The sequence below is a fragment of the Homo sapiens genome, chromosome 15 (assembly GCF_000001405.40).
Source record: "Homo sapiens chromosome 15, GRCh38.p14 Primary Assembly".
NCBI lineage: Eukaryota > Metazoa > Chordata > Mammalia > Primates > Hominidae > Homo > Homo sapiens.
Genome location: NC_000015.10, coordinates 49,419,034 through 49,441,045, shown reverse-complemented (window position 1 = coordinate 49,441,045; position 22,012 = coordinate 49,419,034). Strand labels below are relative to the sequence as shown.

Sequence of the window (22,012 nt, the reverse complement as noted above, 5' to 3'; positions counted from 1 at the left end):
AAGTGTTATGTTTTGGTGGTAATTTACACTTTGAAAGATAAAACATTAAGCCAAAAAGAATGAATCTCTAAGCAGTAAGCAGGTTGAGTTTTCTTGTTACAGTTTTTTCCATCTAAACCAACTTATAACCAGTATCATCTTGATAGAAAACTTAAAATGTTAAAATATTAGAATGTTTAATAATACCTCAGTAATCAACTTCAGAATGTTATATAACAAAACAACTCAATGGGTGGAAAGAGCATTGGCTTTTCATTTCTGTAGAGCCCTGAGTTCAGGTCCTGACTCTGTTGTTTACTAGAACCAAACCAGTCTCTGACTGTCAAACTGAGCCTCATTTTCCTCATTTATAAAATGGAATTAGATGAGAGAAATCATGTAAAGCACCAAGCACTGTGCCTGACAAATAGTTAATACCCAATAAAGAGAAGTTTTTATTCTCCCATCTGTTTAATAAATATTAATGCATTAATTTGGTTAATTTTATTTTAGCTGTATGACTGTACAACAATATGTTCATTTTAGATAATTTTATGTAAATAGGACATTAAGTAGTTTCAATTTCAGTTTCAATTAAGTATTTGGTTTTATATTATAGATGGCCAACTATAATCAATTTGCTGATCTCTTTTTCCTATATATATAAACATTGGCTTTTCACTATAAATACTTTGGAGCAATATTCTACCCCTCTATGATGACTCTTTTACTTATAAGAAATATATCAACTTTTTGACATTTGGTGGGAGAACAAAAGGGGAAATGATCCAAATTGTAAGAGTGTATAAACAGAAGGAAATCAGCTAAGCTTTTGGTGTTACAAACCACAGTAATAATGCATATTGTTTACACAGTGGGTTTAACTAAAAGTATGCTGAACTAAAAACCAGAAGACTTCAATTCCAGTCCAAACCACCACTGCCACTAATTCGTGATGTCATTTTGAAAAGTTATCTTTTCGTGACTCAGTTCCCTCATCAAATAAAATAAGCATAATAGACTAGATCAGTGCTTCTTAAACTTTTATTGGAAACACAGATACTTTTGATAATGTGATAAACGCTTTGAATCCTGTCCCCAATATTTGTGCATATTTTTTCCTTTCCAGTTTCCCTGAGGGCTATCTGCAAACTTCATGTCAAAATCTCTGGACTCTATGATCTCATGGCTTCCTTCCAGACCTGTAATTCCAGAGTGGAGTTGTCTTTGTTTCATACAACCATTAGTGTGATTTTAAGCAAGCAAATCATCCAGTTTCTTTCTCAATGCTACGAAGTGGGGTATTAACACATGGTATAAGGTTTCCTCCCTCTGTCTGCAGTAAGAGAAGAGAGCCACGTTCCTCCTGAGGAGACCCTAACCCAGATTAGCAGTTCCAATAAGGAAAGCTATCTACTTCTCAGGCTTGTTCAGAAACAAGCTTATTCCACAAACTTATTGCTCTGTTTCTCTTCTATTGTTGCTTTAACTTAATTTTATGTGTACTTAGAATTTCAACTTGACTAAAAATTCTTCAGATGCAAAAACCATGCATGGTAGTTAGTCCGTGGTTTGGCCCCAATGATCCCTAACACTTAGTATTCACTATTCACACCCTTGGGTAGTTCCCTCCCCCCACGTTTTACTATTTTACTAGGGTTAGTCTGTGTGACCAATAAAATAAGGCAGAAATGATGGTACGTCACACTGCAATTTCCATCTTAAAGATTCTCTCTCTCTCTGCCTCCCTTTCTCTCTCTCTTTCTCCCTCCCTCTCTCTCTCTCTCTCCTACCCCTCTCATTGCTCAGTCTGAAGGAGGCCAGTTGCCATGTTATAAGGACACTCAGGAAGCCTGTCGAGAGGCCCACATAGCAAAGAGGAAGTTGCCGGCCAACAGCCTGATAGAAACAGAGGCCTGCCAACAACAATGTGAGAATGCTTTATATAGATCCTTCAGCCCCAGTCAAGACATAAGAAGACTTCAGCCCTAGCTGACAGTTTGATTGCAACCTCGTAAGAGTCCCTAAGACCAACCCACTCAGCTAAGCTACTCCCAAATTCCTGACCCTCTGAAACTGCAAGATAATAAATACTGTTTTAAGCTGGTAAATTTTAGGTAACTTGTTATGCAACAATAGATAACTAATTTTCTCTCTCTCTCTTTTTCTCTCTCTTTTTTCTCCCTCTCTCTTATCTTTCCTTCTCTCACCTTACCACCCACTCTCTCTCTCAGTTGCTTAGCACTATTGGTAACATTTAACAACTGTAATCTATTCAAGAAATCTGGCCTACCTCTCTTCAATTTATATTTATAAAACAAATACAAAAACAAAAACTGAGGCCTAGGAGAGTCAACTATTTGCCCAAGGTCATTCAGTTAATTATTGGAAGAAAAAGGATTAACACCCAGGTTCCATAATATATGATACAGTATTATTTCCTTGTCCTCGTGCTCCCTCTCACTTTCTTATCAACTCAATCTACTCCTATGCTATATATAATGTGTATTAATATTTATACAAAATAATGCTATTGGTGTGATAAGCTAAGACTGATAACTCTTTGGTGAATTTTCTAGCCTACTTTTCTCCCTTTTCTCTTCTGCAATTGACAATCTGGTCCATTTATAAATCCCTGTATCAAAGACTGGGTGGAACAAAGCAATGGATATTCATTGTCACGAGTTAATTTCATTGCTTTGTGGGTAGTTCTGGTAAGAGGATTTGGTAAGAAAGGTTAAATTTTTAACAAAGTAATATTTGAGTTATTAATTGATATTAACTATCCAGGTCATTTTTGTGAATAATGTAAATGACTGTTTTTGATTAGTTAGTGCTTCTACTATTCTTCAATGGCTCCTTATAGCCTATGGGTAAAGCTTCATATTCCCTAAAACAACTTTCCAAGATATGAGACTTCCCTGCAGTCTTATCTCTTCCTACTTCCTATCTTGAACTTGGTACTCCTGAAACACTAATTCCCATACAAACCTACTGACACACAACTCAGCTTTTTCTTCATGTACTATTTTCCAGGAAGAGATACCCTTTCTTCTGACTCCCTTCCCCATTTCCTACCCTCTTCTCTAGCCTGATTCACTCCCACCTGCTCTTTGAGATGTGGTTAAAATATGTTTTTTGAGAGTATTGCCCTTTCTCTCCCAGGTTCTGTTAGCTGGCCTCCACTAGAGTCCTCTAACTCCCTGAACATACCTTTTTCACAGTACTTACTATATTCTACTGAAATTGACTCTTTGGTGTTGGTATCCACACATAGGCTGAATTTTTTCAATGGTGGGTGCTTGCATTGTGTATCTGTGCATACACAGTACATAATACGTAATATATGCTCAGTAAATATTGCAATAAATAGTATTCTAATTGCTGGAAAGAGCCACTGCAACTTTCAGAATACAAACCTTCTAAGATATTCTTAAGACACTGAAAGAACCTAAAGTTAATCAGGTCACAAATAATGCATGTCTGGTTTTCAGAAAAATATTGAGAAACAGAGATATGATTTACCCAGAATCACACCCCAAAAAAATCCTTAAAATAGAATTCCAGATATACTATCTTTGGATTAATTCATCATTTTTATTCCCTTTCTTTTGCCTCTTACTTTTTGTGGAGCGCAGTCCTAAAAGGATTAAAAATAAACTAAGGACATGGACAAAAGAAAGAACCTATTTGCCAGTAAACTGTTTCTTTTTCACCATCCTTCAGACATGCTTGTTAAAACAAACTCTCTGCTGTTTCTTTTATTTGTTTTTGTGTTGCTTTGTATTTGGATTTAGTGGCTTTAGGGAAGGAAATTATCTTTAGGCATTCCTAAATATGACTAAGTTATCTGAGATTATCTGAAATTAAACTGTATATATACAATTTAATATATAATATATGTAGTGTCTGGATAATTATTATTATGCATTCTATAACAATTTTCCAGACCCTAAAGAACAGAAGTATAAATAGTTTTAATAAATGTCAGGAATGTGTTTAAAATACAACCAAGTTAAATTTTGTAGCATCTTAGCAATGTGTAAGCAAAATAAACTGAAGGTTGCTACGCCTTCTCAGGGGAAGACAGATGGATATATTTTGTACAAGGAAACTTGGAGTAAGTTTTTATTTAATAAGCTGAAGATAATGCCAAGTATTCATTAGGTCATATTACAGAGAAGAAAACTTCAGTTATTTGTATTTCTTCAGATGCAAATTATCCCACTGCTTGATACAAAGTAATATGCGATGTTTTAATAACACCAGTGACAGTATAGTGATACATGTGATGATACTAAAGCTGTGCTTTGGAGTTAAACCTACTTGCATTCACATCCCAACTTTGACAGTTACTAGCTATGTAACCTAGAGCAAGTTACTTAATTCTGTGAGCCAAATCTCCCCCATCTGCAAATGAGCATAAGTCTGCCCACCTAATAAGAGCCCTGTGAAGATTAAATTAAATAATGTATATAAAGTGTTTAACACAGTGCCAGGCACACAGAAACCACTCACACATTTAATTTTTGTTGTAGTAGTCATTTTTGTTATCTTAATACTAATGGCCCATGTTTTCATTGAGGGAAAAAATTTACTTAAGAATGTCTCATTTTTCCTCTACACAGTCTTTTAGTAACCAGCTTGTGTTGATAAAAGGAAAGCTGGAAGGTTTAAAGCAAGATTCTATATATGAACTTCTTGCTCCTTAATATACAATGATGTTAATCACACAATGGACTCATCAGACCTACTATGCAATATCTAATCTTTGTAAGTTAACTGACTACTCAAATATTTTCAGAAAACAATCAACATTGTATGCAAAGGTTTTTGATAGGATCATCTGAAACACTGGCTAATTTTGAACACCAATCTTTCTTCACTAAAATGAACAACATCTAAATAGGAAGTAAAACAGGCCCATGTATAATTTTAAAACAGTTAGAATTTATATACCAGCAAACTTATTAAGCTGGCCAGTTTCCTGAGGGTCTTTTTTTTCTTCCGTGAAATGAAGTAACTGTGTAATTGCAAGCTTACAGCATGGAGATATTTTGAGAATTAATCAGAATGGAATAAAGTACTCTGTACCAATTTCAATATTGGCATATGTATTTTTAAAGAATTAACATTAATTATATACTTACATTTATTCACTCAATAAAAATGTTCCCAGTTGTACATTGTAAGATTTTGCAGACTAAATTAAAAGATTTATGGCAACAGTAACAGATTTACTTCTATACAGTGCAGTGATTTTAGTGGTAATATTAATTTGAATATCTAATAAACTACTAAATAGTACTTCAAAACATCATAAATTTTAAATTACAACATAGCAACTATGATATAGATTTATGCTCATCTTCTTTGGGGTATCTATTATTATTCAATATCTGGCCATCTTCCAGCCAGTTAAGAGAAAATTTGAAGACCAAATTTGGCCAGAATCTTTTCAAAGCTGAAAGCACTTCTGTGTGCCTGTTAAACATCCAACATTATTTTATAACACATTATTTATACAAGAAGGGAGGTGAGCCTAATTTTGCAAAAACAAAGACATATCAGTAGTTTTATGAAAGTAGCATACTTCATGAATTAGAGGGCATAAAACTATGCACAGCTGCTTGACTACTGAGTGTCTTGATTACATAGTTGAAACAGGTGATCCAGTGCTCATGGTAGTAAAAGTATGTCTTATCTTAAAGAATGTGGTAGATAACCTTCATAATTTTGTCCTTACATGCCAAACATATGACTCAAAATTATTTTTCTCACATTTTAGAAACTGTTAGGGAAAAAACTCCATAAAGATTACTTCGATTTTACAGTGATTATTTGTCAACAGCTGACATAGGTAAGTTACACTTATGGTCAAAGATTGAAAAGGCATTAAAAAGTAAAAAATATTTCATTCATTTTTTTCACACTTATGCCTTTTCCCCATGTACCCCCCTCTCACTTCATACACAACAATTTTAATGTATACTATTTTGTATGTGTTCGAAATGAACATTACTGTTTTGTATGAATGTATTTTTATTGTTGTAAAATACACACAACATACTGTTTATCATAAAAAAGTGAAAAATATGCAGTTATTCAGAAAAAATATATTATTCCAATTGAATTATGCCTTTAAAATTTCCCTTTAAAGGAAAAACATTGTATGAACTTTGAGAAATTGGTTCTCTTTTTTATTAATTAATTATTAATTAGTTTTTTATTAATTATTGATGTTTTCCCTTGCCAGATTGAGCATACACAGTGAACAAATTCACAGTCTATGTTTTTAGATTTAATTTAAGTTGCTGGTAGTTATGTTTTTAATAAACATAGCAATCATTCGAAGCATGCAAATTAATAAAGAGTAAATGTTCTTATATTTTTAATAGAAAAAAAACCTTTACCTTGGTGAGTTTAGCATTGATACTTGGAAAGATGTTAAATCACTTTTCATTTCCCAATCTTGCAGTACTGTTACTACCAAACATCTACAAAAAGCATTTCCTCTGAGGATAATACATCTGTCCTCTATCTTTTGTCCTTTCATCCTTCAGGCTATTTCCTCTCAGAAAAGATTTCCATGCCCTTCTCCTTGTGTTGGGTTTGACAACCTGCGATGTGCCCTAAACTTACTCACTCTGACTTGGAGTTCTCCCTTGACTCCCAACTGTTAATTCTGTAAAAGCATGGACTGTATATTTGCTTACTATTGCATTCTTAGTCTAGCAAAAGGAGGTATAAATAACTTGGTTGAATTAATTAAAAAAAAAAGTCATTAACCTTTAAAATTTTGCATATCTTCATTATTCATGCAAACAAAGGCGGAAACTATGTAACACCTACAAGTGACCTTCCTATGAGAGCTGCCTCAATATGAACCAGATAAACTAGGCCTATGGTCAGAAGTACAGTTAGAGACCCCGTAAGATACCAAAAGACTCCTGAAGATCAGGCTACTGGCACTAAAACGAATTGAGAGTGGATTCACCAACTTTCTTGACTTCTCCCCAGTTCTCTCTTCCTATGCATATGCCCTCTCCTCCCTTCAGTGCTGATCACCAACTCCAGGATCAATATTAGTAGGCAGACCCCTGCCCCAAAATTATCAGTCCACTGCTTGTTTTCTAGTATAGCTCATTTAATTATTAAAGACTTTTTCTCTTTTTGTCTCTAATGCAGATATTCCTTAAACCAATATCAACTATGAATTACTGTTTTTTTCTGTTTATAGTTTTTGGCATGCATGGATTAGCTGGCAGTCAGGTGGGAACAAAAATGGGTGTCATGGAGGGCCACAGCTCCTCTAGAATTGGTCTTCACTATGCCCTGCCAATCAACCTTCCAGTGTCACCAGTGGTAACTGTGTCTGCTTATATAGTTGGCCTCTACAATAAACCAAATTTTCCACCAGTTCCTTGAAATCACCTAGAAAGACATTAAATCAAATTGGTTCTGGAGGCCATTTTTTTTTAGTGATAGAGAATGAGAGGGAAGTGAGGTGTATTTCTCTTTTATTTCAGCAAGGCTTTTAATTCTTGCCCACTTTAAATTTTCATGATAATTTAGTAATCTATTTCTTATTTACATCTAATTTTAAATGTGTAATAAATTAAAGGATAAATATATTGAGTGATCACTAATCTTTCTCCCCTCTTTTACCCTTTCACCTCTTACACTGGGCTAAGTGCTGCTGCTTCTACCACTGGAAGATTAAAAAAAATAAAAAGTAAGATATGGTACTTATTTTCTCAGAACTGACATTCTAGTGACAGTGCCAAATGCAAACAGAAAGAATCATAAGACAAGGCAGATGTGCTGTACACAGGTAGAAAAGCAATTGGGGCACAGAAAGAGAATAAGACCATTACTGGCTCTGTATTGAAAATCTCAAATAATTGATTTCTTTGAAGAATGTGGAGATTAATTCATTAAATTTGTAGTCCTTTCATCAGATTATGTTAAATTTCTAAATAATTTTTAGCCAGTAAATGAAACATTTCTTTATTGAAATAATTGAAATAGCAACAAATTTTGCTCCAACTACTTTTTCGAAAAGTAAAAATTTATTGTTTTAGATATATACAGTAAGAATTTTTCAATCATATTAGGATCCTAAAGCATTTTTAGGTTATAGCATAGGAAATGTTTTTGGTTAGTTTATCGGTGGCCCAAATAATAGCTGTTGGGCATCATTTCTTGTTACAGGAGGGTGGTCCTATAAATCTGCTCAGAACTCAGAAAGAATTTTAAATTAGGCTTAAATCCCACTGCAAATCCCTGGATTTCTGTCCAGTATTCATGCACAAAATATTACTCTAATAGTCCGAAATCATATATAATCTTCTGACTTTGGCATACATGCTTAGTTGGTCATTATTAAAATGTTGGTTCAGGTCAATTGTATAGTTTTTTTATTTGATTCAAACAATTTAGTGGCAACTTCGTTTAGTTCTTGACAACACCAAAGATAGATCCTTAGACAATAGCTCTCAAGTTGAAATTTAATAAAATTTAAATATTCCACCCAAACCAGGGACTAAGAATGGAGGTGAGGGAGAGGAGGAGTGTTATGTTGTCAAATAAGTTTAAGAAATCATGTATACTCTTTTCCTAGAGTTTTAAAAATTCTCATTAGTATAGTATAGACTCAGAGAAATTCTGCTGAAAGAAAATTGTTCAATTTTATTTAACCTAATATTTCTCAGCAGGTTAGTTAGAGAAGCTGTGCTACAGGAAACAGCCTTAATATCTCAGGGGGCACTAGTGTTATAAAGAAACACAGTTTGGAAATATTACCTTAAGAAAATTCTGCAAGCTGAGTTCATTCTGAATTTGGTCTCAAACTATTTTCTTAGCATTACTTACAGTTACATCTAAAGTTCAAGTAGCCAGATAAAATGGGAAATATTACAATAGAATATAACAAATGTGATATTTGAGGATATTGAAACATGTCTTATTTCTCTTACATTAATCTTAAAAATAAATTCAGTTTCAGAATAATTCTGATAAATAAGCAAAGATTATTACAGTTTTCGGCACAAAATCAACCAAGAGATTCAAACCTATTTGAGTAATACCTGTAATAATTTATTATCATTTCAACCCCTCTGTATTATTATCTGAAATTGTTATTTCAATTTCTAGTTAAATCCAACCCCCAGCATTTTAGTGGTTTTGTTTCTTCCTTCTACTATCTTGTCATTCCATTGTCTCATTCTTTAAGTGCATCAAGAAAGTTAGTGGGGCTATATTTTATGAGAAACTTTGCTTCATTTTAAGTTTACAGAAGATTTAAAATCCAATAATTTTTATGTAAAGTCTTTTTCCTTTTCTCTTTTGCTCTTTTTCCTCCTGTTCACAAAGATATTTTCTTCCTCTTTATTTTTAGATGGACACTAGCTAATGACTCTATCAAGTACTCATGACCACTCCAGTAGAAGAGATTACTTTCTTCTGGAGGGAAGTTAAGCAACTGGAGAATCTCTAGAGCCAATTCTCCCCAGTATACATCAAATTTTTTTCCTCTGAGAATGATGTTGCCTGCCTAAAGACAAGGTTTACTTGGGCATGGGTACTGGATAATTCTCCTCTCTCACTCCCCATCTTAATCACTTTGTCTTTACATATTACTACACAAACCCTTTCATACACATAGTTAAGGAACTTTAATGACATTTTTGTTAGTGAATTTGACACGACTTCTCTACTAAAGATATGTCCAGATATAATCTCAAATGCAGATAAAAAACTTGGTCCAAAAGCGGTTAAACATTCAGGGACTCTTTAACACAATTTTCCAAATCATGTGGAAGGCAGAGGATTTTCATTTACAACCTATTTGAGGGGTAAAAATGTTAGATGTTGTTTAGTAAAGGAGTTTATATTAAAGTCTATTTCATTGAACAAGAGTCATTTTTCTCCATATTACTTAAGTATACATAATTTTATTGTGAGATATATAAAATTTAAAAATGGAAAAGTATTGTATTCCAATAGTGATGTTAGAGAAGTTATTGTGCTACCAAAAATTGTGTGATACAAAGGAAGAAAGCTATGATCCTTAGAAAATAAAAAAAGCTTTGCCCTAATGTTGTGCATCATTCCAGTCTTAAAAAGAGAACAGTCCTCTAGCTTTATGTCTTTTCTCTGATCTGGATAGACCCTTGCTATGGTTTGAATGTCCTCTCCAAAACTCATGTTGAAATTTAATTGCCATTGTGATGGTATTAAGAGATGGGACCATTGAGAGGTGATTAGGCCATGAAGGCTTCAACCTCCTGAATAGATTAATGTCATTTTCTCAGAAGTGAGTTATGAAGAGAATGGGTTGTTAGAAAAAATGATTTCAGCCCTGTCTGTCTCATACTCTCTTACTCTCATACATTCTTGCCCTTCTACCTTCCACCATGGAATGACACAGCAAGCAGGCCCTTGCTAGATGCCATTACCTTGATATTGGACTTCCCAGCCTCCAGAACTGTGAAGAATAAATTTCTTTTCTTTATAAATTATCCAATCTGCAGTATTCTCTTATATCAACACAAAGCAGACTAAGCCAACCCTCTAGAATTGTGGTTCTCTCCCCCTGGGTTTCCTAGGCTAGAGGTTGTCTCCTTAAACCTCTGCCTTTGAACTTGGTTGTGTGGCCATGAGAGGTGAGATCCTAATCTGGGAGCATCTGAGTTCATAGTCATAAGGTGGCTCATTTAAGTGCAGAATAAGCAGACATTGAGGCCTGTACTTCAAGTACCCTACTGCAACACCACTTTAAAGTGTCAGAAGAGATGCAGACCTGCCTGTCATTGTGAGGCTGTGGTACAGAACCTATTCTTCCCTGCAGCTAACTCATTCACCAAAGCAGTCTTCTTAACATAGTAGCTACAGAGCTATCATCACGTACATTTCCAGGCCAGTTCACCAAATGTTGGAGCCACTAAGATTTGTCAGAGAGGTCAGATGAGCCCAGAAGAACCCTCTTGGTGCATAATTCAGAGATTTATGCCTAATCAAGCCTATTTCAAAATCCTCTAGGGTTCAAGTTAACTTTGAATCCCTCTACAGGGTCTGAAACATTCCCAAGACCCCTGAGGTGGTCCAGGCTGAATTAGAATTCTTGTTCTCCATAAGCAGTGGTTTGCAACCTTAGCTGCACTTTAGAATCATTGGAGAACTTTAACAAATACTAATGCCTGGTCCTTCCCACCTTTGTGAGATTCTGACTTAATTCCCCAGTAATCTAATGTGATCCCCTTAGTCCAGTGGTTCTCATCCCTGGCAGCATGTCAGAATTATCTGGGGAAGCTTTTAAAATTCCTGATGCCCAGACTGTACCTCAGATCAATTTAATGAAAAATTTTTTGTGGGTGGAAACTGGCATCAGTATTTTTTTAAAGTTCCCCAGCTGATTGTAATATTTAGACAAGGTTGAGAGATAGAAAAATGTAGAAAGGCAACCCTTTCAATATATCTAAGAGCTGACTTCTTCCATTCTCTGTAATTCACTTGGGCCTCTGAATGCTCTAGAACTGTAGGTTAAAGAGTTATTGTACAGCTGAGTCATAAGGGTCAGTCTAGATGAGGATTTACAAAAGAGAAAAGAGATGATAAGAGATGCACTCGTGGCAATGAATGAACTTATTAGCACTTCATAAGTGCCAGGCACATGTGATAGCCAAAAAGAAAAGATTATAAAATTAAAAACTAATCAAAGAATGGCTAATATTTTCAAATCTGCTCCCCAGCAGTTTATCCATTCTTCATAATTTAAAGCCCTAACAAGTTACTTAAGGGAATGCGGGTCACCAGTTCTACAAGATTCTACCTTGTCTATAATTGCTAGGATTTTGGTTCGACTGCGTAGATATGTTACTTATTATCTATTTTTTTAAAGGCAGGGGTTGTCCTTACATTGCTATTTTTGATTCTGATAATGTGAATTATTGTTCTTTTAGATAACTTGCTAAGAACTGTTTAGAATATAAGCAAATTTACCATCTCCATATTCAGAGGCAATATGTGTATTTGCTAGCTTCTAACACATTATTGTTAAGTAGGAGCCTATCCAAAGAATTGTTGACAAATGAGTCGCTGAAGGTTTTGTAGCCAAAGTCAAATTCAGCAACGCTGTGTTTATTTGCCTTTTGCCAATTGTTAGGCCATATCCCATCACAGTCTAACAGTCCAAAAGAGAATATTGCCAAATCATTGGCCAGTTTTCAGAATGGCTAACCCTTTTCTTGCTATGGAACTAACAGTGCTTCATTATAATCAAGTGAGGCAATTTATGACAAGAAATTCTTAAAAGGAGTAGATGATATTGACTATTATTGGGAAGAGCACAACTTTTTAGTAATTGGATACCAAAAGCATGAAAATTATCCTGAGGGATTGGATTCTGTCTTCCACATCTGTCTCTCAAGGCGGTCACTGAGTGCCCAGTGCACTGCTGCTTTCTCTCACTCGGCACCTCAATACTCAGCTTAAAGAGCAGTGTTATTTCTGTCAGGTGCAGAATGATAGCCTCTGTCTGCTGTTGGACTGCCTGGTGCAGCAGTAATCTAAATTCACCCTCTGATCTTGTCCCCATGGGGAGAGTTCTGACAACAAAAGTGGAAGTATCGACCATTCATTTCACCCTTTTATGATGTTCTCAATGCTCTTCTTCTTCTGCAGAGAAAATGAATATTTACTTCATTTTGAATGTGTACTTTGGAGGGACATTTTATGCTTTTAGTATTCTTATTATTAGTTAAGGTTAGATACTAGTTTCATCACCTGGAAACCCACTGTTAGGCTAAATGTGAAGCCACCAGAGAGATAAGTAAAGGGGAGAGACTTTCTGCCTCCTGGGTAACAGTAGTACACAATCCTTATGACCAGTTCTCTAGTAGCAGCTTCTGTCCCCTCAAGAGTCAGAAATGTGGTCCAGTATCTCTTGGCCTCTCATGAATTCCCCCATCTTCATAGTTCTTATTTATATGTCTACTAATACAAGTCTTATTTCCGTTGGGTTCCTTGATGCACTCTTTCTGTAATATATTCATTCTAATCTAAACTTAAAATATTTTACAAAACAACACAGTAATTAAGGTAAGACTAAAGTAAGTGACAACCTCACAATCCAGGATAGCTTAAGTAATTTTTTAAAATTCCCTAAAGTTATGAGACATGAGCAGTCACATCCACTTGCCCACCACTCCCTTTTCTTTCTCCATGCCCTCCAACCATCTACCCGAGCCCAAAACATTGTGGAAGCAGAATTATACATCTAGATATTTTACTTCTCCTGCTAGCTCCAATCCATATTTACTAGTATCTTAAAAAACCACATTCCTGTGTGGAAGCATTGCTTCTGCTGGTGAAGTGAGTAGTCCTCTGAAGCCTATTGACATTCTCAGGTCAGTCATTCAAAAAAAAGTCATGAGAAAAGATTGGGGACTTTCTTTTGGTAACCAGAAGAATAATTATATTTTGCATAGCTGGCATATTACTTTTCATGTAAAATTTTATCTTCCAAGACACTAAAATCTATACTAACTTAAAAGACCTCCAAAGAAAGGTGATTGACATGACAACCTGTTGAAAAAATTTAAGGCATCAAAACATTGAAAATGAAATTCTGAGTTTGATTCTGATCTTTAATCAGAATCCTGCTGCATTTCATTCTAGTAGACAATCCAATTACCTTTTTCTCTCATTTTAATGAAAATAGGAAGGAAACATTCTTTCATTCATTTATTTGTCCATTCATTCAATTAATGATTGAGGAATGTAAACAATCTTCAAATGTCATAATTTCAAGTTTCCATTCTTGTTATTTTAAACAAATTCTGAGCATTTTTTGAACCTAGATTTCCTAATATAGCAGCTTCAACTTCACATGTGTCAATTAGCACAATTGGACATTCACTCTTAAAATTATTATAGTAAGGCTACCCTTCAAATAATAGGAAATGGCTATCAGAATTTTCTTCTAACATGTTATTCTCCATATATTCTTCATTGTAGCATTTCCCTCTGTACCTAAGGACTTCCTATAGAAAAAAAAGAGTGGCTTATCCTCTTTTTAACTTTGGAGAAATCTTACTGACTCCTTCTCCAATAAGATAGCCACATAACCTTACGACAGTTTTAGGGTTTACTTAAAGGATTCTGATGAAAGTTTCCCTTTCCAGGATAATTAACGATATCAAGAAAGTATACCATATATACAGCCTATTAAAAAGTTTATAGAAGTAAAAATTATTTACATGATGTGTATCTTGTCTTTTTAGTACACTGGTATTGTGACATTCTAATTTATAACAATATAGGGCGACTTCCTTTTTTTTTCTTTTGTGCTATAGAATTGGTGTTAGAGGAGATGGTTTACAAAATTGGCTTTAGGGTTACTCAAAGTTAGCACTAAATTGTATTTCAAACTATAAAATAATTTTAGCATTTTATGCATGTGTACTACCTGAGTTTCATTGTTTCAAGAAATTTTAACACAAACAAAATAAAATTTACATATGCAAATGTATTCCAGTTGAAGATATTGTTGATCCTAAATAATTATGCATACTATTCATTTTCACTGGATTTTACATCTACTTTTTTGCTTTTTCATTACTTGGTAAAAGGATTCAAAAGGAGTAGTCAGCATGTAGAATTCCACAGTTAAGGTTTGGTAACCTTATTGCTATAATTTGAAATTAGTTCTGACAGCTTATCCTATTACTTTCATCTCATTCGTTGTGTGAGATAATTATACAATGGGTATTTAGGTTTCTTTATATTTATGAAATATATTCTGCGGTTTAAAATAGAATAGACTATAAGAACTGGAAAGTATCATGGAAATCATCTGTACCTATCCCACATTTTATAGATGAAAAATTGAGGGTCAGAAAAACAAAGAAATTGTCCCCAGATCATTCGTAGACAGGGAGTTGCCCCATGTGTCATAATTTTTACCTAGGCTCTGTCGTCTCCACCAGGTTTTATTATCCATGATATTATTATTGATATATATTATCCATGATAATATATAATATTGTTATTATATCCATGATATTATCCATGATAAATCTGAGCAACTTTTAAATAAATTAATTATAAGCCAAATTCTGTTGCTTATATAGAAGTAGATATCAAAAAAATTTTCTCCAAATAGTCATTTCCTTAGATAAACTTTAGTATAATAAGAATGATCTTCTAGAACTAACATGATACCTTTATTAATCTCAGTAATAATAATAAATAATAATAATAAAACCATAACTGTCCAGTCATTAAAATGGCCTTAACATTCTATATCAATTATGGTTAAAAAGAAGGTCTTCTCATTTTCATATTGGAAACATAATTCTCTGAAATTCCCATTGATTGGTTGATTAGTTCAGAACCCTAAAAGTCATTCAGTAAACAGGCAACAAAAGTTTGAGTAATTGCTGCAAGCCTGGCACTGTGATTTGCACATGTTTACACCAGTCTCCCCATGCATTCTTTTTCAAATGACTTTAAAACAATTAATATGAAATTATATATTAATAACAATGTTTTCTGAGTGCTAGTAATGTAAACAAAATTTATTTTTACTAAGTATTTTAAATCCTTAATGTACATGTTGAGGTGTGTATCTTATTCCATTACATTTAATACTATTGAAGTTGGTTATTCATCATAACCATTAAATGCAAAACACAACCCTGATATTTTAACATAAGAAGAATAACTGATTCTTGGGAAAAATGTAAGGCTTTAAATTGAAAAACATGGAATTACCATCTCTTCCAGCCCACTTTTTTCCCCTCACCTTTACATTTTTCTTAAGATAGCACAGAACTTTTATGACATAAAAGATTTAGTTAAGGAAAACGTTAGGAGAGATCTGTTTTTCTGCCTAAGTTGATAAGTCATCAACTTAATACAAGCTCATTATGACTCAAATGAATAAGGATACCACAGATTCCCTTCTATTTTATCATTATACACAATTGCAAAGGAATGCATATCTTAGCACAGATTAAGTATTTTAATTTACATCATGAAAATATTATTTCAAAGAAAATCAAATTAATAAAAATAATTTCCCTACTCTTTAAACTAGTGATAAATAGCTTTTAGTGATAATTTATGAAGTTCTAAATTAGATATCTTAATGAGTTTTGCTTAGACAATATTAAGTCACATTTTGGTGTGAATAATATTATTTACATTTTGCTTAACTTATGAGCATTTTCAGGACAAGGAGTATATATTTTCAAATTGGCTTGGATTATCAGGTCCAACTATAATGTAAGTAGATTTGCCCTGTTAAAAGAGATATTTTTAGGGGCATAGTTCAACATAGTTCAATTTAGAGAAATTAGGTGACATTTTATTTAATTTTTTTTCCAAGAAGCAAAAGGAAGATGAGAAAACATATCACCTGAAAATTGATCCATTAACAGATTGCTAAGGTTCATGAGCAGTACTTAAAATTACTTACTGTAATTATTCTTCATCTCTTGGGTCCCTTTTACTTTGCCTCTTTTATCGATCCTCAGGTACCACTGTGTTCGACAGAAGAGTCTTCTCACTCTTATATCCCCTCCTTCCATGTAATCATAACTTCTTGTGTGTCGCTCAGGGCTGGAACAGTTCACATTTGTAGCCATTTGCTCTGGAGTCATGTCATTGCAAGCTAAAGATATAGTACCCACTAGACAGATAATGTGAAAGCATGATCTGTAGAGCAAAGTTGGCAGGATCCATGTCAGTATCCATTTGTGCATTATAGTGTAGTGCTCCGGGTGTTCATGAATAACATAATGAAAATGAATCTTGAGTTGATTGTTACTCCTAGGTCATTGACCTCTTCCTATCTGTGAATTGTAGATTGATTTAAGAAAGAGTAGTTGCTCTTTCCAAATTGTTAGCCTTATCCTTTTAGTTCCTGATAACAACACAGGATTCCTCCTTAAATAACTCTGTTGATAAATCCTCATAAAAACAGTTCGTAGTAAGTTCAGTTGCTGTGACGCTGTTTGCTATTTGACTTCTGTTTGCAATGAGAGATTAAGAATAGGGAGGGGAGGAGAGAGGAAGATAAAAAATTGTATGTGTAAATTTTAGTGGGTAAGTAGTAGCATTAGAATACAGTATAGGTTATTCTTTGAAGATACATTTAAAACAGCCTTCACAGAGGATGTCAAAATCTTTACCACTTTATGTGTAGATTTATAAAATTTATGCATGAGTAGAGACAAAACAGAATATGACTGTACCATTCATTCCAATTGCTATTTTGTGAGAACCATACTGCACTCAGAACTATTGATTTAAATTAAGTTTTTACAATTACTGCTAACAAAGTGTAACTGCTTTCTCCCTAGACTTCTTTATTATATGCTTTTACATTTGTGGTTAATCAATTATTTTCTCCTGAACTGCCCAGGTTTTTTAAGTTAAATGTCAGGATTGCTCTGGAGAACTTCAACCTTATCTTTATGTTCTACAGCATAATTACTATAGTTACATGGCTCAAAAATCTTGTAACTTTACTTTCCTGCTCAGTACTAAAATCAGAAAAAGAGATAAACTTTTAGAAAACATTCAGCATTGTTTTAAAAGACAAATAACAGTAACTTACTTGTTTTGTTGCTAACAGCTGGATATATAAGAATTCCATGTCTGTTGTCTGCCTGGTGCAACTTGAGCCTTTCTACTGTAGCTACAAACTATTTCTCAGCTGAAAAGTTCTCCAGCAGAATCATAATTGTTTCCATAAATCAACAGGCAGAAGGATTTTCTCTCTGTGTGTGAGCGCGTGTGTGCTTGTGTGTGTGTGTGAGCCTTTTATTCAGGGCTTTTCGATAAATACCTTTGCTGACCTCATTGGAAGCAATTAAAACTTAGCCAGTGAGCTGTTAGTTGAATACAACAGCGAGAATAAAAGGAGGCTTGTATAGTATTCAATGGTCATGAGAGGGAGCTATGAACATGTTTTATGCTTAAATCTACAAGTGGGTACCTACTTTGTAGAAACAGATCTCTGGTTCTGAAGCAGTTAGAAGGGGAAAGGGAATTTTTTAAACCTTCTTTGCAATATAGCAGTTGTATTATACTTGGAAAATTATTCATTTGAACATATATATAGGGTTTTTTAATACTTAGAAAATCTTTTCCATAGCTTTATGATACATGCATTTCTTCAATTACTTCTTTGTGCTCAGAATGTTAGAACAAAACTGGTATGTGTTAACTAACATATGAGTGCCTTAAAGCACTGTGTAGATAAGTTGAATATTATCACATCATACAGAGACAATTCATTGAATATGAATATAAGTACAATTTTTATGTATTATATTCCTAGGCTGAAAGTGAGAAGATCTAGATTCTTATTTGTGTTGGACCACTAATGACCAGTATGACTTCGGGCAAGTTACCTGCTGTTCCAGAGTCTCAGCTGCTACATTTGTAAAATTGGTGTATTGGTCTAATGCCTCTATGGTGCTTTACAATTCTGTGATCTGTGACTTATACTCACTACTAATATAAGGAACAGGGCACCTACTTTTAAAAGCTGTTATTCTTTAAAAAGGAGGAAATGGTTTCACATTGATTATCAGTGTTTGATTTTTGCCTCAATAAGAATATTGGAACAATAAATGTTAATTTAGAGATGGAATTATAATATGTATTGCTAAGGTAAATAAGTGAAAGCTATTTTACTTTCCAGCATGAGTTCTCTCCTTTACTTCCTGTTCTGTTATACATGAAGTAGTGCTCAAGTGTTGTATTAGATTCTTGGTGTAGAATAATTGTGTTGTCTATCTAAATCAGTATTAAGAAAGTATATTAAAATTATCTTTTTCATGTTATATACTCCTCAAAACACACACGCGTGCACGCGCGCGCGCGCGCACACACACACACACACACTCTCTCTCTCTCTCTCTCTCTCTCTATGTGAAATGCACTACTTTACCACCAGGTGGTGCATGTAGACCAAATAGGAAAAGGAAATTAAATCTACTCAACTGGATTATAGTTTATGTGATTTCTCTTTGTATCTGTCCCTTTAGGGAACAGAATGAAGAGCACAGAATAGTTCAGATGTACCCAGTTACTCTTCATATGCCAAATGTTGAATGTTCCACATTTATTAAAGCAGAGGGGGACAGACTCTTTGATCATTGCATCTGTTGAAAGCTAGAAAGCTGAAAACATCCTATCATGTATTCTCTAAAAGGAGGAAGAGAAGGAGGAAAGAAAATATAATGTTATTGTGTTCTGAATCACACTCCGCTAGTTTGGGAGGTAACAATAATGAGCAGGCTCAGAATTCCTAGGACTTAGATATTGCTTCTAAAGAAATAAAAGTTATCAATAGTAAGTTTACAGTGTAAAGATATTCAAGAGCTACTAAATCCATTTGTTCCATACTGAACCTACAGTTTTTAAACCAAGAAATCAGTAAGTGAGAAGTCCACATTTGCTAACTAAGTGCTAAATACTTAAATGAAAGAAATGGATAGTTTGTTAGCAAAGAGTGCTTAGTGCCTCCTTAATATCTGCTACATAGGATTAACTGTAAAATGGGAAACAAAAGAATAAAATTGTGATCTATGAAAGTGCATTAGATGCTATTACACTCTGTAATTTGGAAATATGATCCAAGTAATATTAATGAACAGATTAATATCAACAAGGGAACTGTATCAATGGTTTAAATTCTTTGATTATCATTTTTATTGGAGAATTATTAATTCAGGATGGGCCCACAATTCATTAGGACCACAGCTATAATGGAGAACCAAACTTAGATTTCACTGTGCCCTTATTATGCTTATGCTTCTAAATGAATTCTCCAGGAACTAAGAATAACTTTAGGCAACTGTAGATGGGGTAACCCTCTGGATGTTTTAAGTTATACATTGGCAACCGTTTGTTGCTCTTGTTTTAATAGACCTATAGTGATAGATTAAGCACAGGAATACTTTGAACTATTGTCTTTTTTTTGTTATTTGTAGATTGAATTTTCTTTTTTAACACACCATTGCTGGCTTCAAAGAATTAACTGGCCCAGCATGGTGGCTCACGCCTGTAATCCCAGCACTTTGGGAGGCCGAGGCGGATGGATCACAAAGTCAGGAGATCGAGACCATCCTGGCTAACACAGTGAAACCCCGTCTCTACTAAAAATACAAAAAAATTAGCCGGGCATGGTAGCGGGCGCCTGTAGTCCCAGCTACTCGGGAGGCTGAGGCAGGAAAATGGTGTGAACCTGGGAAGCAGAGCTTGCAGTGAGCAGAGATCGCACAACTGCACTCCAGCCTAGGTGACAAAGCGAGACTCCATCTGAAAAAGAAAAACAAAACTTTGCCTCGTTCATAATCATGTATAATATAATCAGTAGAAGGGAACATAATTAAATATTTTCATTACTTTTCATTCTTACATCTTATTCTGTTCCATATCCTGTCAGTTTTCATTCTTCCCCAAAACATAGATAATTCTTTTTATTAGTTTCTTGTGTATCTTTTCAGAGTTTCGCTATGCTTGTACAGGCAAACTGGATACATATGTTTGTGTGTATATGTATATACACATACATATTATTTTTTACTTTTACCCTTTTTATACAAAAGGTAGCACGTCATATGCATTTTTTTGTATTTTTTTTTAACAGAAAAATCTTCCTATCTCATTATTTAGGAAGCTTCTCACATTTTTGTTTTTGTTATAGCTACAGGGTATTCCACCGAATGGGTATATCACAGTGTATTTGAGCAGCCTCCTATTGAGGAACATTTAATTTTCTTCAGTACTTTTCTATTACCAAAGAAATGCTGTAATGAATAAAGACAAAATATGTCATTTTATACTACGAAAATAAATCTATAGGATCAATTTCCAGAAGTAGACTGCCTGGGACAAAAGGTATTAAAAAAAAGATATTGCCAACTTATCCTCCACAGAGGTTGTGCTAGTTTTATAATCCCACCAGCAGTAGGTAAGAGTACTCATTTATTTCAAAAAATTTATTGTGAAAACATTTGGAGTTTTATTAGTCTGACAAGTGAAAATGCCATTAAATTGTAGTTATCCTTTGCATTTCTCTTCTTATGAGAGAAGGTAACCATCATGGACAAGTGCTACAAAGAAAAGATACATAGTGCCATGAGTATCTATAATAAGTGGCAATATGTAAGCTTTCCCTGCAAGAATTCCACTAAAGCTGCAACTTTACAGCATGAATGGGAGTTAACCAGGTGAAGAGGTACTATACAAAAATAAAAAATAAAAAAATAATAATAATAAAAAAACCTGTCCTTTTCACAGTGAAACACAGGTTTGGTCCCAGTAGAGAGAATGAGAAGGGACTGTGGTGCATGAAGAGGTTGGAGAGGCAGGCAGGATCTCCATGTGTTTTATTAAGGCATATGATCTGTATTCCAGGAGCAATAGGAAGCCATTATAATATGGTAAGCAGAAGAGTGACATGATCAGAATTTTACTCTGCCTCTGTTCTGGTCAAAACTTAATTCCTATTGGCAGAATGGGCTTATGAAATATTAAACTGTGTTCATTTATCCCATTTTTTTCTGTTCTTCATATTTTCAAAAAGATATTGGAAAGGAAAGGTTGAGGGAAAAAAGTCATAAATGCTTCCTGACTAGGGTAAAACATGAATCCCTTTCAAAAGGTCATGCCAAGCGCACTGAAAATAAAGGAAGCACTAGAGTGCATTTGAGAAGCAGCCCAGGGAAGCTATCACAGAGTCCCATGGACCTGGGAGCATAGAGAAAATTTATGGCCCCCATATTTGGGGAGCCATGCTTGTATATTTATCTGTACACAGCACCACCGCACATAGCAGAGGCAGCAATACTCCAGAGAATCAGGGCTGCCTCATGTGTCTGAACAAATAGGTCCATAAGGACCCCTCATAAACATTCCCATATTTTAAAATAATTCTGGAAGTAGGAGGGAGTTCAGAACTGTAGAAACTGTGTGAACAGAGTGAATGAATACCCCAGAAGAGGAATCA

General features: G+C 34.3%; 2 protein-coding genes across 28 annotated transcripts in view; one reads left to right on the top strand and one right to left on the bottom strand.

The window, feature by feature from the left end:
- FGF7 (fibroblast growth factor 7) overlaps positions 1-17,804 on the bottom strand; it is a 65,534-nt gene extending 47,730 nt beyond the window's left edge. The window contains exons 1-2 of the mRNA NM_002009.4: positions 17,606-17,804; positions 16,463-17,014 (exon numbers count right to left, since the gene is read on the bottom strand). Coding sequence (NP_002000.1) covers positions 16,463-16,748 — 286 coding nt within the window. The 5' untranslated portion in view covers positions 16,749-17,014; positions 17,606-17,804. The remainder of the gene's footprint in view (positions 1-16,462; positions 17,015-17,605) is intronic.
- FAM227B (family with sequence similarity 227 member B) overlaps positions 1-22,012 on the top strand; it is a 293,849-nt gene that overhangs the window by 179,773 nt on the left and 92,064 nt on the right. For 4 of the 27 annotated variants that reach the window (XM_024449865.2, XM_047432228.1, NM_001330293.2 and 1 more), the window contains one exon: positions 18,332-18,646. The exons of 20 other annotated variants lie outside the window; for them this stretch is intronic. In XM_024449865.2, the coding sequence (XP_024305633.1) occupies positions 18,332-18,336 (5 nt within the window). In that variant the 3' untranslated portion in view covers positions 18,337-18,646. Of the gene's footprint in view, positions 1-1,788; positions 14,219-18,331; positions 18,647-22,012 lie in introns of those variants that run through there. 3 more of the 27 variants (XM_047432227.1, XM_011521325.4, XM_047432226.1) reach the window with 3 other exon arrangements.